At 48.2% G+C, this 17,218-nt stretch overlaps 1 protein-coding gene and 1 pseudogene across 1 annotated transcript, besides 7 other annotated features; one reads left to right on the plus strand and one right to left on the minus strand.

Moving 5' to 3' along the window:
- Positions 60-339: an enhancer, noted in NCBI's record as "active region_8168". NCBI's record gives its function as "activates an Ori minimal core promoter by ATAC-STARR-seq in GM12878 lymphoblastoid cells {active_cell/tissue: GM12878}" and the evidence as "EXISTENCE:reporter gene assay evidence [ECO:0000049][PMID:35858748]".
- Positions 7,279-8,143: an enhancer, noted in NCBI's record as "NANOG-H3K4me1 hESC enhancer chr14:23762790-23763654 (GRCh37/hg19 assembly coordinates)". NCBI's record gives its function as "activates a minimal SCP1, AML or CMV promoter by ChIP-STARR-seq in naive H9 embryonic stem cells {active_cell/tissue: H9 hESC(naive)}" and the evidence as "EXISTENCE:reporter gene assay evidence [ECO:0000049][PMID:30033119]".
- On the plus strand, positions 8,222-9,498 carry H3P37 (H3 histone pseudogene 37; annotated as a pseudogene).
- Positions 8,795-9,107: a silencer, noted in NCBI's record as "fragment chr14:23764306-23764618 (GRCh37/hg19 assembly coordinates)". NCBI's record gives its function as "represses an EF-1alpha promoter that drives an FKBP-Casp9 reporter gene in an ReSE screen in K562 erythroleukemia cells {active_cell/tissue: K562}" and the evidence as "EXISTENCE:reporter gene assay evidence [ECO:0000049][PMID:32094911]".
- On the minus strand, positions 9,350-16,557 carry PPP1R3E (protein phosphatase 1 regulatory subunit 3E). The gene is made up of 5 exons (NM_001276318.2): positions 15,858-16,557; positions 14,996-15,556; positions 14,456-14,562; positions 13,099-13,239; positions 9,350-12,615 (listed from the first exon to the last, which is right to left on the minus strand). The coding sequence occupies exons 1-2, from the start codon at positions 16,272-16,274 to the stop codon at positions 15,134-15,136; spliced, it is 840 nt and encodes a 279-aa protein (NP_001263247.1). The 5' UTR covers positions 16,275-16,557; the 3' UTR covers positions 9,350-12,615; positions 13,099-13,239; positions 14,456-14,562; positions 14,996-15,133.
- Positions 15,004-15,193: an enhancer, noted in NCBI's record as "active region_8169". NCBI's record gives its function as "activates an Ori minimal core promoter by ATAC-STARR-seq in GM12878 lymphoblastoid cells {active_cell/tissue: GM12878}" and the evidence as "EXISTENCE:reporter gene assay evidence [ECO:0000049][PMID:35858748]".
- Positions 15,254-15,683: a silencer, noted in NCBI's record as "silent region_5603". NCBI's record gives its function as "represses an Ori minimal core promoter by ATAC-STARR-seq in GM12878 lymphoblastoid cells {active_cell/tissue: GM12878}" and the evidence as "EXISTENCE:reporter gene assay evidence [ECO:0000049][PMID:35858748]".
- Positions 15,694-15,753: a silencer, noted in NCBI's record as "silent region_5604". NCBI's record gives its function as "represses an Ori minimal core promoter by ATAC-STARR-seq in GM12878 lymphoblastoid cells {active_cell/tissue: GM12878}" and the evidence as "EXISTENCE:reporter gene assay evidence [ECO:0000049][PMID:35858748]".
- Positions 15,834-16,343: a silencer, noted in NCBI's record as "silent region_5605". NCBI's record gives its function as "represses an Ori minimal core promoter by ATAC-STARR-seq in GM12878 lymphoblastoid cells {active_cell/tissue: GM12878}" and the evidence as "EXISTENCE:reporter gene assay evidence [ECO:0000049][PMID:35858748]".
- Positions 16,558-17,218: the final 661 nt, after the last annotated feature.

Consider the following 17,218-nt stretch of genomic DNA (forward strand, 5'->3'; position numbering starts at 1 on the left):
TGGGGCAGGGAAGATGTCCCCTGGGGCCAAGCTGCAGTGCATGGTACCTCCCCCTACCGTCGACCTATCGGCGCCGGACCTTTGGAATACACCGGACCAGGATCCTTCCGAAATTCCCCAAGGAGGGATACTGCACTTTGCTGAACTGTCTGGACCGCCAACAACTCCCAATTTGTTTCCTTCTGAAGGAAGCCCTCCAGGAAGACCTTTTCAGTGCCCCCTCCGGAGCCATACAAACGAGCTGCGCCTTTCCCAGCCGAGAGCCCAACCGCCACCAGCAGCGTCAGCTGTAACAAAGCGCCTAAAGCAACTGGGAACTTGTTCTCGAGAGGGATCAGATGTCTTGCCACCCGGAAAGACGAGGACCTTAGGAGCCTGCGGGCGACTTAGGCCGTTCCCCGGGTCAAACTGGCACCAGACAGATGTTCCCAAAGACGAAGTGCTGGAGCAGTCACCTCATTGGGACCTACCAGACCCTCAGGCTCCCCTCCCTGCCCTAGAAAAGAGGACGCGGAGCTCTCCATAGTATTTGTTTTTCGCTAGCTAGAAAGGGATGAAGACTGAGGTGGGAGAATGACTTGATTTCAAGAGTTCGAGGCCAGTCTGGGCAACATAGCGAGACCTTGTCTCAAAAAAATTTTTTTTAACTTACAAAAAGAAAGGGATGCCAATAAAATGGACTTCAACAAAGCAGTATCCCACACAGTATGAAGTTATGGGCCAAAATTTGTATTTTAGGATTCCCCATCTTCTGTGAGACAGAGTAACAAATGTAAGAAGACAGGCTTGCTCAATTCTGTTTGGCAACATAATTTCACAAAGCCTCTGACTCTGACGTCTCTGGAAAGATCCTTTGAAGACAAAACAGGATAGGGCACACAGTCCTCTATGTCTCTTGCCTGAGTCGCTATATTCCTTAAAAGATAAATGGGCTGGGCGCAGTGGCTCATAAACCTAATCCCAACGCTTTGGGAGGCCAAAGAGGGAGGACTGCTTGAGGCTAGGATCCAAGACCAGCAAGGGCAACATAGCGAGTCCCTGTCTCTACAGAAAAATTTAAAAATTAGCTGGACTTGGTGGCATGCACTTGTAACTACTCAGGAGGCTGAGGCAGGGGGATCATTTGAGCCCAGGAGTTGTAGGCTGTAGTGAGCTATGATTGCACCACTGCACTGCAGCCTAGGCAACAGAGTGACACCCTGCCTCTAAAAATTTAATAATAATAATAATAATAATAATAATAATAATAATAAAAGATAAATGACCCTAGTCCTTGCCTTTTCCTGCACATAAGATGATGTCTAATGGGGTTAGGGATGTTGCCTCTGTAATCTATAACCAAATGTTCTCTTACACCCAAACTTTTATGTGATTCTGCTTTAATGTAACTTATGAGCAAATTTGAGGTAACTTCTGAGCACATACTGAACCCCCACTACCTGTATGTAAGCTGTAAATTAAAATACCGTCAGAGCAGTCTGAACCTTTCTATTTAAAAAAATTTATTTTTATTTTTATTTTATTTTTTGAGACTGGGTCTCACTCTGTTGTCCAGGCTGGAATGTAGTGGTGCCATCTTGGCTCATGGCAGCCTTGACCTCCCAGGCTGAAGCAATCCTCCTGCCTCAGCCTCCCGAGTAGCTGAGACTACAGGCATGCGCTGCCATGACTAATTTTTGTATTTTTTTGTAGAGATGGGTTTTTGCCATCTTGGCCAGGCTGGCCTCAAACTCCTGGGCTCAAGCTATCCACCTACCTCTGCCTCCAAAGTGCTGAGATTACAGGCATGAGCCACCACGCCCGACTGAACCTTTCTAAAGGGCTGCTTTTGGTCTATAGACCTGAGTCTATGATCCTCAGTAAGTTTTCTGATTACGACTTTTTTTTCTTTTTTCTTTTTCTTTTTCTTTTCTTTTCTTTTTTTTTTTTTTTTTTGAGACAGAGTCTCGCTCTGCCGCCCAGGCTGTAGTGCAGTGGTGCAATCTCGGCTCACTGCAAGCTCCACCTCCCGGGTTCATGCCATTCTCCTGCCTCAGCCTCCCGAGTAGCTGGGACTATAGGCGCCCACCACCACGCCCGGCTAATTTTTTGTATTTTTAGTAGAGACGGGGTTTCACCGTGTTAGCCAGGATGGTCTCGATCTCCTGACCTCGTGATCCGCCCGCCTCGGCCTCCCAAAGTGCTGGGATTACAGGCGTGAGCCACTGCGCCGGGCCCACAACTTTTCTTTAGTAAACGTGCCTAAAACTTGGAAACAATCTTTTCTGAAGTGACTCTTCTGTTCTTTGGTCTTTGAAAAAGTCTCTTCTTGCCTACTTAGGTTAATGTAATACCGTATATATACTTGCCTACTTAGGTAATGTAATACCGTATATATAATATAAAACATTTTCAGACTTTGTCCTGTATTCCCAGACCTCACCACTCCCCCTCCTTACATACCTCCAAGAAGCCATCATAATGTATTCTTTGTTGCTGCATTCTAAGGTACAGAGCTATTTTAAGGTGGCCAGGCATCATATCTCTCCTGCAGAACTGAGCTCTATTTTCTGTTGCTATCCCTGTCTTTGCCCCTGCCTCCTCTCCTCCCTCATTTCACTTAGTAACAATCTCAACTCCTAATAGCCAGTTCCACATCCTTCAAACTAATATCTGGCAAAAAACATCATGGGGTAAACAATGGAAAGACATATATAAATCAGCTTTAATTAGACACTTTTGATCCTTTAGGGTTTGAACCAAGGCTGGTGATATATACAAACCTTTTGATAAATCATGATTATCCACAATGCCTCATTGGTTTGTATGTAATGAAGGGAAAAGTGAAACATTTTAGGCAGCAGCAACAACTCTGTTACCTGTGGAGAGGTTATTCCCTCATAATCCAAACAATTAATGAGACTGCATTGACTGAGAGGAATTCATGCGTGTTTGACTAGAAAGCCAGGTAAGAACCGTCAGTGGGAACAAAACACCTGACCCTGGAGGGTTCAATGAGTCACTCTGGATGTCACTAATCATGGGCTTGGAATTACAAAAGGTGGATGGTCCAGTCACCTTTCTTGTCTCAGAAAGACACTGCCAAGAATCAGGAGTGGGGGGCAGAATCGAAGACAGATTTAGGAATAAGGGGAATCCCAGGAAGGGAAAAGAAACTCTCCTGCCTCAGTTCTAGAGTGCAGGCTGAAGCCTCCTCCTTCTATGTGGGTTTCTCCCTATAGCTTTGGATGGAATGAACTGGGGTGGGGAAGTGAAGGGAAGGGAGATGTCCAGGCTGACAAGGGTCCCAACTTTAGCAAGACAATAATCTCCCCCAGCTCTTCCAGGGACCACTGCTAAAGAATGGGGACTCATGTCATCCTCACTGTAGAGATGTTAATACTCCATCTCTAGTGAAAGCTTTCTTTCCCTTTGCATGAGTGAGACATTAGCAGGGCTGTCTGGAGGCACATTTTACTCTATAGCAAGCTTGTTCAACATGTGGCCCAGGACAGCTCAGCTTTGAATGCAGCCCAACACAAATTCATAAACTTTCTTAAAACATTTTGAGTTTTTGTGATTTTGTTGTTGTTATTTTTGTTCATCAGCTATCATTAGTGTTAGTGTATTTTATGCGAGGTCCAAGACAATTCTTCTTCCAACGTAGCCCCAGGGAAGCAAAAAAATTGGACAACCCTATTCTATAGCTAAGGATTCTAAAGTTTCAGAGTCCTTCCCTGCACAGACCTCACCCAAAGCATGGGAGGAGCCCCAGCAATGTGTTAACATGATTGTAGGTTTTTGTAAAGTTTGAAAAAATATACTTAAATGGTAATTGGTTAAGACTGAGTTCTCCTAGATGATGAGTTGACGGGGGCAGCAAACCACCATGGCCCATGTATACCTATGTAACAAACCTGGACGTTCTCCACATGTAGCCCAGAACTTAAAGTAAAATTTAAAAAAAAAGAGAAATTTTTGAATCTTAATTTTTATTCTGCAATTATGGATGTAGAAGTCAGTAGAAAAACCCAGTATATTAATAATTTCACATTTCTTGACTGCAACCTCAAACTTAATTGAGCTAAAGTTTACTGTATTTTTTCCTCCTCTGGTTGCTTTCACACTTTTAAAGATAGTAACAAAATTATTCTTCTGAGACATTTCCGGTAAGATGGATATCTTTACTATTGGATTGTTTAACAAACAATTAAGCCTAGAAGTTATTTGAGTACATAAAGGTGCAAGAATGATACAATGGAATTTGGGGACTGGGGTTGGGGGAAAGAGTAGGAGGGGAGTGAGGGATAAAAGACTACACATTGGGCTGGGCACAGTGGCTCATGCCTGTAATCCCAGCACTTTGGGAGGCCGAGGTGGGCGGATCACCTGAGGTCAGGAGTTCAAGACCAGCCTGGCCAACATGGTGAAACCGCGTCTCCACTAAAAATACAAAATTAGCTGGGCGTGGTGGCGCACGCCTGTAATCCCAACTACTCGGGAGGCTGAGGCAGGAGAATCGCTTGAACCCAGGAGGCGGAGGTTGCAATGAGTTGAGATGGAGCCATTGCACTACAGCCTGGGCGACAAGAGTGAAACTCCATCTAAAAAAAAAAAAAAAAAAAAAAAGACTACACATTGCTTGCAGTGTACACTGCTTAGGTGATGGGTGCACCAGAATCTCAGAAATCACCACTAAAGAACTTATCCATGTAACCAAACACCACCTGTTCCCCAAAACCTATTGAAATACAAAAATTTTAAAAGGCAAACAAAAAAAAAAAAAACAAGAAAAAGATGACCTCCCCAGGCTCAGGTGATCCTCCCACTTCAGCCTCCCAAGTAGCTGGGACTACAGGCACACCACCACACCTGGCTAATTTGTTGTACTTTTTTGTGGCCCAGGTTGGTCTCAAACTCCTGAGCTCAAGCAATCTGCCCACCTTGGCCTCCCAAAGTGTTGGGATTACAGGCATGAGCCACTGTGCCGAGCAGGAATACATTTAGTGTGGGTTTAGTAGGTATACTTAAGTGCTTTACAGTTACTTCTGTGAATAAAGTATCCCCATGTAGTTATAATGTTATGAACTGAACTATATCCCTCCAAAAATTCATGTTAAAGTCTTAACCCCTAGTACTTCAGAATGTAACCGTGTTTGGAGATAAGATCTTTAAAGAGGTAACTGTGTTAAAATGAGGTCTTTAGGATCTGGGCGCAGTGGCTCACACCTGTAATCCCAGCACTATGGGAGGCCAAGGCGGGAGGATCACTTGAGCCCAGGAGCTTGAGACCAGCCTGAGCAACACAGTGAGACCCCGTCCCCCATCTCTACAGAAAATAAAAAATTAGCCCAGTGTGATGATGTGTGCCTGTAGTCCCAGCTACTTGGGAGACTGAGGTGGGAGGATTGCTTGAGCCCAGGAGACTGAGGCTTCAGTGAAACGTGATCGCACCACTGTTCTCCAGTCTGAGTGACAGAGCGAGACCCCATCTCGAAATAAAATAATGAGGTCTATAGGGTGGATTCTAATACAGTGTCACTGGTGTCCTTATGAGAGGAAATTTGGACACAGGTGTGTATGTGCACACAGAGGAAAGAGCATGTGAAGGCACAGGGAGAAGATAGCCGTTTAGAAGCCAAGGAGAGACCTCAGAAAAAAGCAACTCTCCTAACACCTTGATCTTGAGCATCTAGCTTTCAGAACTGAGAAAATAAATTTGTTGTTCAAGTCACCCAACCTGTGCTATTTTGCTATGGCAACCCTAGTAAACTAATATGCATAGCTTCCAGAAATAATGTCACCAATTCAAATAGTATATGACATTAGTTATTACAAATTTGAAACACTACAAGTTTGACAAAAATCCTAAAAATCTGTGACATTATCACTACAAGGTGTGAAGATAACATTTTTGTAAACTATCAAGAATTTTAAAAATGTGGCCTGGTGCATGGCTCATGTCTGTAAACCCAGCACTTGGGAGACTGAGGCAGGAGGATCGCCTGGGCAACACAGCAAGATCCTGTCTCTCTCTCTCAAAAAAAAAAAAAAAAAATTGGGAGGCCAAGGCGGGCAGATCACGAGGTCAGGAGATCAAGACCATCCTGGCTAACACGGTGAAACTCTGTCTCCACTAAAAATACCAAAAAATTAGCCGGGCATGGTGGTGGGCGCCTGTAGTCCCAGCTACTCAGGAGGCTGAGGCAGGAGAATGTCGTGAACCTGAGAGGTGGAGCTTGCAGTGAAATGAGATTGCACTACTGCACTCCAGCCTGGGCCACAGTGCGAGACTCTGTCTCAAAAACAAACAAACAAACAAACAAAAAAGGCCAAGGGCAGTGGCTCATTCCTGTAATCCCAGCACTTTGGGAGGCCGAGGCAGGCAGACTGATTGAGTTCAGGAGTTTGAGACCAGCCCGGGCAACATGGCAAAATCCCATCTCCTCAGAAAAAAAAAAAAATTAGCTGTGGTAGTGCATGCTTGCGGTCCCAGCTACTTGGGAGGCTGAGGTGGGAGACTCACTTGGGCCCAGGAGGTTGAGGCTATAGTGAGCTGTGATTTCGTCACTGCACTCCAGCCTGGGTGACACAGTGAGAATCTGGCTCAAAATAAAATAAAATAAATAAAATAAATAAAAAAATAAAAAAATTAAAAAAGGGGGGGGGCCGGAATTTTTGAAATATGATAAATCTTTCTGGAAGACTGAATTACTTTTCTCTTTAGGAAAACATAATCATCATATGAAAAGGCTATCAAAGAGCAGGCAGCTTAAAAAACGTAGAGCAATATATAGGTTTGTCGGGTAGACAATTTTTGACAGCTTTTAAAAAAATTATTCGTTGACAGCTTTTCTCATTCTAAAACAAATATTCACTTTCCCCCCCAATCTTGTATTTATTTGTCTTAAAGGGGGCTCCAAAAGTTGCACACTTCAGGCACCCAAAAACCTGGATCTACCCCTGGGACTAACCAAATGGATATGGAGAGTTTCTGTGCCGTCTGGGGAAATCATACTCCAATACCCTGTGCTGTGTCTCCTAAGAAATATCAGAGCTGGAGAGCTGATTAGTAAGAACTGCAATGATTGAGGATTTCGGATAGACTTGGGATAGCAAAAGCTGCACTGAAGGTTAGTGGAGAAAAGAGTTTAGACACACCTAACCTCAAGTTAAAATGTGAGAAATCTGCAGTGAGGTTGGGGCCACAGAGACCCTGGACAATAAGCCATGGAGAGAACCCACTTACCTCTCCTGGGGTGTCTGCTCCTCATGCTGATTCTGCTCTTCAGCATATCTTGTTTCACTTACAACACTTAGTGAAGAGTAAATTCTCTGTGCCGACATCACAACTTGGCCATTATGATGTAATGAGGAGGCATCTGTTATTCTCAGGGTAGGGCTTCCCTATTAGGAACATTCTAATTACTTTGAGGGTAATTGGATTGTTTCATTATTCAGGTGATGTAGAAGTCAATCCTGTTAGAACTTAATCTTTTTCAAGGACTCCCTCCTTTTATAATGTATCACTCCATTCTGAATTAGGCAGACGTCTTTGCTTTTCCTTTCCATATTTCTCCTCCGTTGCCTTAGGGGGTTGCCTTTGATAAGGGCTTTGCTCTTTCATCCAGCACTTAAGGAGCAGAATGTAGGCCGGCACAGTGGCTCACACCTGTAATCCCAACCCTTTGGGAGGCCGAGGTGGGCGGATCGCGTGGTCAAGAGATAGAGACCATCCTGGCCAACATGGTGAAACCCCGTCTCTACTAAAAATACAAAAATTAGCTGGGCGTGGTGGCGCACGCCTGTAGTCCCAGCTACTCGGGAGGCTGAGGCAGGGGAATCGCTTGAAGCTGGGAGACAGAGGTTGCAGTGAGCCGAGACTGCGTCACTGCACTCTGGCCTAGCGACAGAGTGAGACTCTGTCTCAAAAAAAAAAAAAGAAGAAGAAGAAGCAGAATGTAACTCAGATGGTCTTCTTAAGGAAGGATTTCCCCACCCAAGGAGAAACGCAGGGCTTTTCCCAAGCTCTTCCCTTTAACTGTTGGTTAAAGCAGTTGGTGCTGGGTTCCAGAGAAGAGCTGGGCCCTGGTAAATTTCCCACTACCCAAAATGATGATAGGATCCTGTTGGGAGTGTCTTACATCAGGACTGCCTAAGTCCTCCAAAACTCCTTCCCCTCAGCATTTGCATAGCCAGAGGGGACTCCAGCAGAATGAGAATAGGACTTTTAGGAAATAAGGTAGTTCTCTAACCAGGACCATCTCTAGCTCCCTGAGCTCTAGCCGAAGAAGGGGAGTAAGTAAGGAGGTCTCTCTCACAGTCTCACACAAAGCAGATTGCTCACAAATTGACTGAAGGTAAAGCACCCAGGAAGCAACTGCCTACAAAAGCTGCTCCGGCTGGGCGAGGTGGCTCACGCGTGTAATTCCAGCACTTCAGGAGGCCAAGGCGGGCGGATCACTTGGGGCCTGGAGTTCGACACCAGCCTGCCCAACATGGCAAAACCTCGACTATTAAAAAAATACAAAAACTGGGGGCCAGGGGCATGGCTCACGCCTGTAATCTCAGCACTTTGGGAGGCTGAGGCGGGTGGATCATCTGAGGTCAGGAGTTCGAAACCAGCCTGGCCAACATGGTGAAACCCTGTCTCCACTAAAAATATAAAAATTAGCCGGGCGTGGTGGCACGCCCCTGTAATCCCAGCTACTCCGGAGGCTGAGGCAGGAGAATCACTTGAACCCGGGAGGCAGAGGTTGCAGCCAGACGAGATCTCGCCATTGCACTCCAGCCTGGGTGACAGCATGACTCTCAGGAAAAACAAAAAACAAAAAACTACACACACACACCCCTCCCCCCACCAAAAAAAAAAAAAACTGCTCACAAGAGTGCGCCCTCTACTGGAGGGCGAAGAAACCTCGTCATTACAGGCCTGGTACTGTGGCACTCCGTGAAATTAGCCATTATCAGACATCTACTGAACTGATTCGCAAACTTCCCTTCCAGCATCTGGTGTGAGAAATTGCTCAGGACTTTAAAACAGATCTGCCGTTGCAGAGTGCAGCTTAGTGGTGCTTTGCAGGAGGCAAGCAAAGCCTATCTGGTTGGCTTTTTGAAGACACCAACCTGTGTGCTGTCCATGCCAAACGTGTAACACCTATGTCAAAAGACATCCAGCTAGCACGCCGCATGCGTGAAGAATGTGCTTAAGAATCCATTATGATGGGGGAAACTTCATTCTTAAAAAAAAAAAGTCTCTGCTTCCTGTCATTGGTAGTTCTGAATGTTAGATATTTTTTCCCCATGGGGTCAAAAGGTACCTAAGTATACGATTGTGAGCAGAAAAATAGGAGACAGAAGTCAGGTGTTGTCAGTTTTCAATTTTCATTTGTGTGTGAATTTTTAATGTAAATGTAGGTGGGGAAGTAAAGCATTAATGCAAGTCAAAATGTTTCAGTGAACATTTCAGTGGTTCAACTTTATAATAATTTAAGCAAACTTATTAAATTTTTCTGGACACACACACACAAAAAACAAGGTGACCAAGAAATTGAGTCAAGGAGGGAATCTTGCCTCTGAGTCTCTTGCTGCCCTTAGCCCAAAACACACAATACTTCTGAATATCTTATGACATACTTTCTTTTCATATTTCAACTTTATTTAAAATATGAGGTTTTATGTCCAGAAGGGAGGGCAGTTGCCCATGGAAGGTGAAGTGAGGCACAATACTATTGGGTTGCGGGCCAAGTACACAGGGTTGCACTGTGAAGGAACTGAGGAGGTTCTGGGAGGGCCTGGTGACAACAATGGATTTGGGGAGATCCACAAAGGAAATTTTCATTTCCTCCCCAGGTTAGCTATTCAGTGGGTGGATTATTCAGTCTTTTTAGCAAGGTCACTGCTCCTTAGCAACATCAACAAAAGTGCCAAAGCTGAGGACACAGAGAATACCATCATTGTCTTTTGTTTCTCTTTATGCCTGGATGGGGAAAGGAATGGAAACTAATAGCAGAAAATGAAACATTTCTGATGTTATCCCTTGCCATGAAGAATCACGGGCTTGTGTAGAGACCTCTTTCTTTTCTTTTTTTTTTTGAGGGTCTCACTGTCACCAAGCTGGAGTGCAGTGGTGCGATCATAGCTCAGTAACCTCCAACTCCTGGGCTCAAGCGATCCTCCTGTCTCAGCTTCCTGAGTAGCTGGGAATACAGATGTGTGCCACCATGCCCAGCTAATTTTAAAAGTTTTTGTAGAGACAGGGTCCCACTATGTTGCTCAGACTGGTCTCGAACTCCTGGGCTCAAGCAATGCTCCTGCCTCAGCCTCCCAAAGTGTTGCGATTACAGGTATGAACCACCACACCGAGCAGAGACCTGTTTCCTAGCCTGGGAATGGGTGATCAGGAGGCCTGAGTTTAAGTCCCATCTTGAGCTGCACTAACAAATTCTATGACCCTGCTAGAGTCATTTCTCACCTCTGGACCTGTGTTCTCATCTGTAAAGGAGCCAGGAACCAATGACGTCGGAAGAGAAGCCTTTTCATGTCTGATTCTATGACCTGCAAACTGCAAAGATCCCAGCAGGCTCCAGAAAAACACGGCAGTTAGAAACAAGGGAATGTGGGTGTTAGGTGGAAAACTGAGGAGCTAGGGCTCATGATGAAATGTTTTTCTACATTCACAAAGAAAAACAAACAAACAAAAAACAGGACGGAGGCTATGGGACAGGGAGGTGTAGGAAGACACCTGCAGTCTGGATGAGAGGAATGGGCAACAGTGTCCCTGCTGGGTTGCCTCAGGGACCCAAGCCTATGACCCAGGTAGTGTTTTCTCTCACGGCACTTCCCAGTCCACAGCTGACATGTTATATTCCAAATTGCTCCTGTTCATATAGTCATGAGCCATCAGAGGAGTTTCCACTACAATGCCTAATGCGTAACACATTAATAGGGTGGCTGAAGATTCCGCTAAACTCCTAGTGTTCCCCGTGTCAGATTAGACTGCACCCGCTGGGAGAAAGCAGTGGATGCAGCTCTGTCCATGCACACTCAGCTTTGCTTACTGAGGGTGTGAGAAATACAGATGGAAGTTTTGGAAGAGCAGTGCAAGACGGAAAGGGCATACTGCCTAATCTTGGTTGGTTTGCAGATGGTGGGGTTTGTGGTAGTGCCGGATCAACTCAACCCAAGGTGAGGAAAAGCCAGGGGGTTGGGAAAATCTCAGTGCTGAAGTCCTGGGAGAGGAGTACACACCAAAGCCATCAGGGCAAGGAATCTCTCCAGAGAGCCGCGAAAGCACCAGGCACTCAGAAGCCACTCAAGAAATATTAGTTTCCTCCCTATTTTACAAGGCTTGGTAGCACTGATAGTTTTGTGTCAGGTTCCAAGGAGACACCCACTATTTGTGTGCCTAAGAAGTAGCTCAGCCAGACCCAGCCTTGAGGCAGTGGGGCAACTAACAGCTTACCGAAGCCCTGGGGCAGCTTGATATGGGAATAATCAAGACCAAAATGTTGTTCTATAAAGCTGAGATTGGGGAGAGTGAGCCAGGGTACTTCTGAGAAAGAGGTCAGGGAACAGGATTATCATTAGCATTCTGCCCACAGAGTTGGCACTTACCCAGTAACATCGGGATTCCTAGAAAAGGCCCAAGCACAGACCCTCTAGCAGGTGTCCTAGTCACGGACCCAACCTAGTGGCGACATTAGGGGGTTTGCCTGTTCAAGGCCAGTGGGGGAAGAGGGAGGGAGGTGGCACACCAACAGGTGTGGAGCGCTGGCTAGGGCCAGGAGAGAATTCCAATGTATGGAAAGGCTAGAGTGTAAGTGGGAAGGTGAGGGGGGTCCTGTGCTGATCCTGCATAGATGGGACACTGACACAGGAGACAGCAGCAAACTCCTTCGAGTCACAGATGAAGCTCGGGGGCCCCCTGTCTTCTCCAAGCCAGTCCAGGAGATTGGCAGGATGGGAAGGCAGAGCACAGTCAGAAACTATGATCATTTCCTAATAAGAGATTATAGCAAGGTTTTAAATTTTGTTTTTAAAGAGGAAAAAAAATATAACATCATGGTTACACAGAGGCTCTGGAGATTCCCTGGGTTCACAATCCTACTTCTGCCATTTACTAGCTGTGCGATCTTGAACAAATTTCTGAGCTTCTCTGAGCCTGTTTCCTCATCTCTAAAACAGAGATAATGACAATGTTCTACTTACAGGGTTGTTTTGGGCATGCATGCAAACAAAACAGATTTTATGATCGAGTCATAGTTCTGGAAAGGAAGAAAAACCCAGATTTGCGCACACAAGTGTTAAGTAAATGTGAGCCCTCACTATTGTTCATACAACATGGCAGTGACACACATACATTAGACAAGAGATTATTACACACTGAGCCTCCACCCAGTCTCCCTATTATCCTCCCATGGGCTCCTAATTGATGACTAAACAGTGCATTGCTGGGTGGCTTCCAGTAGTTTCTTTCTTCACTTTGCTGCAACTTTGAACTGAAGGTGATCCACATGGTACATGACATTCTTCCTGTTTTCTTCACAAGACAAGGATGATGTTTAAATGGGCATTTGTTTGCGGAATGACTTGGAGAGTTCCTCTCTTTCAGCCATCTTTTCTCAAAGACTAAGGCTGTGGACAGGATGGGCATGGTAACAAGCCAACAAGCCTCATACTCTATTCTTTTTTTTTATTTTTTGAGACGGAGTCTCACTCTGTCACCCAGGCTGGAGTGCAGTGGTGCAATCTCAGCTCACTGCAACCTCTGTCTCCCCGTTAAAGTGATTCTCCTGCCTCAGCCTCATGAGTAGCTGGGACTACAGGCATGAATCACCATGCCCGGCTAATTTTTGTATTTTTAGTAGAGACAGGGTTTCAGTATGTTGGCCAGGCTAGTCTTGAACTCCTGACCTCAAATGATCCACCTAACTCAGCCTCCCAAAGTGCTGGGATTACAGGAATGAACTACCGCCCCTGCCCCCACACTCTATTCTGAATGCATGTATGGGCACATGTGCATGCCTGTCCCCTTTCACTCAGTGATAAGGAAGAAGGGGAACCAGAAATTTCTGTTTGAGAAATTAGTAACAGAAATGGGTGTGGGGAGCTGGTTACCTGGGAGATCCTTGTTCATTTGTAACATCAGGAACTGCTTCTTTTCCTCCTTCTCTCTTCTAGAAGACTGTCAAGGAGCCCGAGTGAGGGAAGCAGACCAACCATGGTCTTGGAGAAAAGAAAATAGGGTTTCCATCCCTTCTGGAGGGAGAAGGAATAGCAGAGATGAACATGAATGAAGAAGGAAACAAATGGAAATAAACAAAATGAAGGTAAATACCCTATATGTTAAAAGAAAAAAATACCCTATATGTTAAAAGAAAAAAGAAAAGAGAAGGAAGAGACACAAGGAAAGAAAGAGAGAAGCAAAGAGGTTAGGAATAGGGTAAGAGAAAAGGAAAAACAGCAACCAGCAGAGGAATCACTCCCCTGTTAAGGTTAACCAGGAGGAGAGGCTTATATAAGGCATGAATGTGAGTGGGTATGAGAGTCCAGCTTTCCCACTGCACTTGCTCTGGTTATGGAGCAGACTGCCATCTTCTGGTGCCATTTACTATTCAAGTTGCTTTGGTGTTTTTTTGTTTTTGTTTTTTTTTTTTTTTTTTTTTTACAACCAAGTGGATTGATTGAAATGCTTTGATTCTTCATTTGAAATGTTTCTATTCCATATACCCATTATCTTTTATCCTCACAAAAGCCCTTAACATTGTTTCCTTTAATCTTTGGGGTTCTTAAGCATCATTTCCACCAACAGAGATGTACCTACCCACAGTTGTCTCAGAGCATGGAGGCTGAAAGTCTGTGAGGACAAGAGTGAAATGGAGCAGAGGATAGGCTGTGGTTTGGAAGCGGCTCTGGAATACGCTGGGGGTGGCGGTGGGGCTGAAGGTTGGTTATGGGATGCTTCCTGGGCTCCGGAACATCTGTGCCAAAAACTGGAGGACCCATCCTCGGCTCCAGCCAGACGCTTGGGGTGCTATGTATTCTGAACCATAGCACTAGGTTGGAAAATTTGGCTCCTAATCTATACTCTGCCATGTACAGATCACAAAATATCATACAAGGAGCCTTAAAAGGTCATCTAACCTAAATCCAGTTTCCCAAGGAGAACACTGGGGCACAAAGAAGTGAGAGGTAACTCGCCCAAAGTTATATAGCTAGTCAGGGACTTCCTCTTCGGAGACAAAGGAAATCAGAATAGTGATTCTTCTGATTCACCGTCCCTCGACAAACAGTCCACAAAGTGCTTGGAGGTTATTAAAAGGCACCCCAGAAAAGTAAGGCTGGCATTTTCCTGGAAGCCCCTGAGTGTACAACCCCTGAGGCTCAGTATTTGGCTATAAAAACAGGTCTGGAGTTGCTTTGGCCTCCGTTTTAATCCCTAAAGCTGCCTGGAGGCTGGAGCTCTGATAGCTACCTGTCATCACTCCCCAGCCAGTCCGCGGACACCGCAGCCAGGAACTGTCAGAGGTGACAAGGGAATCCCGTCATAATGCCAAGGACCAAGGAGCAGTGGCCAGGTTCCTGGGATTAAGCAAGGCAATTATGGCTGAGTTAAAGCTAGGATGGGTAGGACAGGGGGATCTGAGGTGGAAAAGGCCGGTAAGAAGAGGGAATGCGCCAGCAATGTAAATGCCTTCGACTGGGTGGGCTACTTCACATCATACCTCCTCCATCTCCAAAAGGTTCTTAACCTTCTTCAACCGCCTAGGCCTGATGGACCTCCTCCCTTTCTCCCAGAGCCCACTCACTGAAGGGAAGGCCACCATCATCCCCATTCTTTTCCTTTTTTTATAATCCCTCCGGTGCCGTTTCGGGTCTCCTTCCTCCTATATTCTGAGTTCCTTCCACTCACATCCAACCAGCTTTTAACACCCGGATCTCCCGGAGCTTCTTTGGTTCCGCTCACTCCCCCCGCCCCCACGCCCCCACGCCCCCACGCCCCTGATTTCCCCACCCTTTTCGCCCTCCCCGGCTTGACTCCCTTGGACCGCTCCCGCCAATCCTGGTCTCTCCTACTCCTCCCCGCCACATCGGGTCGCCCCGCCCCCGGGTGCCTTTGGTGTTTTCCGCCGTCGGCCGCAGGCGCCTCGTCTCAGATAAAGTGGATCCAGCCCTGCGGCTCCGGAGCTCCGCCACTGCCCGGGTGCTCGGGCCCACGTAGAGCATAGTCACGGCCGCCGTTGTTGTCCCAGAACTCGTGACCTGTCACACGGTAGCGCAAGGCGAAGAGCAGGGCGCCCCCAATCGGCGGCGCGGGCAGGCGGAAGGCGAAGCGGTCGGCGCGCGGCGGGGGCGGGGCCGGACCGGCGTAGGCGGCTGGCGCCTCGCGTTGGCTCCGCCAGCCGTCGGCGCTCCAGCGCACGCTCACGCGCTTCTCGTAGGCCAGGTCCACCACGCGCGCGCTCCCGGCCACGCCCAGCGGGCCCGCCTCGGCGCGTTCCAGGCAGATGCGCTGCGTCAGCAAGCGGGCGGCGAAGCCGGGCTCGCTGGCCGGCTCCAGGGCGGCGCGCGCCTCCTGGGGGAAAGAAGAAGCGGGAGGAGGGAGCCCAGGGCGGAGAGAGGGGAGAGACAGGGGGCGGTGTCAGAGCAAGGCACTGGACCAATCAGAGGCCGACCCCGGCGTCCAGGCCGGCAGAGTGCGGCCCAGCTGCCAGGGTGGCCTAGAGCCACTCGCAGATGGGGTCCCCAAAAGGGATGGGCAGGCGCAAGCCCAGGGATGGGATGGAGATGGGTGCTCTTTGGCAAATCCACTCCCACAAGCCCGCTGCGGCCGACTGGAGGAGGTCCCCAGGAGGGGAGGTGCCCCCGCCGCCTACCTGGAGGCCGCGGGCGCGGGGCTGGCAGGGCGCGAAGTGGCGGAGGGCGTCCCTCTGCAATTGGATCTGCACGTGGCGGGGCACCCGGGGCAGCTCACCGGGACGGAAGCGGCGCACGACAGCCAGCTCCAACCCCAGTGCGTCGGCGAAACGCACTCTCTTGCGGGTGTCTGGGCTACGGCTGCGGGGCGCCCGGGCCCCGCCGCCTCCGGCTGGTGCAGATCGGGCCCGGCGGCCCCGACTCGGTGCGTGAGCGCGGGATCGGGCCCCGAACCGCGTCCCGCCCTCGCCTGGCTCCTCCTCCGGCTCCTCCTCGAGGCTGGGCCGCTGGCTACGGTAGTAGGCGCGCTCCGTTAGCGCGGCGATGAAGCTCAGGTTGCGGGGAATGTCGGTGCCCGGGGGCCGCTCACGGGACATGGCAGCCCCTTCCCCGGCGGGGCCAGCTCGCAGCGCCACCGCGCTCCCCTCTCTTCCTCTCTCCCGCCCGCCCCGCGTCAGCGCAGAAGTCGCTGGGTCCGCTTCTGCAGCCCCTCGCTGCTGTGTATTCTCCTTGCAGACACCTCCAGGATCCTCCACCTCCCGTTGCTTTGCCTCTCCTCTGTGACCACCCTTCCCTCCCTCTGGCCGTCAGCTTCCAGGGTCTTAGACTATCACATCCTGCCTCCTGCTAGCGGTCTGCTCTGAGCGTGCGCTCAACTGCACTCACCCTCCGGTTCCAAGGCCCTCACGGCCCGGGCGCCCCCGCCCACAGCCCTCTGACAGGTGGCTCCGCTTGTCTTCGCTGCTGCACCAGGGGGCGGGGACTCCACCTTTGCGGTCCCGAGTGAAGCTACTCAACCTTTTAAAAAAAACATCCACGGACGGGACGCGATGGCTCACGCCTCAAATCCCAGCACTTTGGGAGGCCGAGGTGGGAGGATCGCTTGAAGCCTGGAGTTCAAGACCAGCCTGGGCGTCATAGTGAGACCCCTGATCTCTACAATAATAATAATAATAAAATGTAAAAAGTCCTCAACTTTTCCGGCACAGCACAGGAAAGGTTAACGCCGGGAAGAAAAAATAACCTTTCATTTTCTTGCAGGGGAAGGTTCAAAACGCCCAGCATGTGACTTTATCTTTGGGGTTCACTGTTTTCTTTTCTGAAACCTAGGCTCCTGGTTTGGGCAGGGGGTGGTGGTGCGTGCAAAGAAGGAAAGGTCATGAAAGCTAGGTAGAGTCTTTCAAATAGAAGGTGAGAATATGGCACCCGAACTGAGAACTGCAGGAAGACCTAGCTTCTAGTGACCTTGAGCAAGCAAGGCATAACTTCTCTGGAGTCAGTGTTCTCGTGTGTGTGTGTGTGTGTGTGTGTGTGTGAGTGT

The sequence above is a fragment of the Homo sapiens genome, chromosome 14 (assembly GCF_000001405.40).
Source record: "Homo sapiens chromosome 14, GRCh38.p14 Primary Assembly".
Lineage (NCBI taxonomy): Eukaryota > Metazoa > Chordata > Mammalia > Primates > Hominidae > Homo > Homo sapiens.

Coding starts and splice junctions, on each gene's coding strand:
- PPP1R3E (NM_001276318.2), bottom strand. CDS start 16,274: ATGTCCCGTGAGCGGCCCCCGGGCACCGACATTCCCCGCAACCTGAGC. Junction 15,557..15,857: donor CCCGCGCCCGCGGCCTCCAG/GTAGGCGGCGGG, acceptor TCTTTCCCCCAG/GAGGCGCGCGCCGCCCTGGA.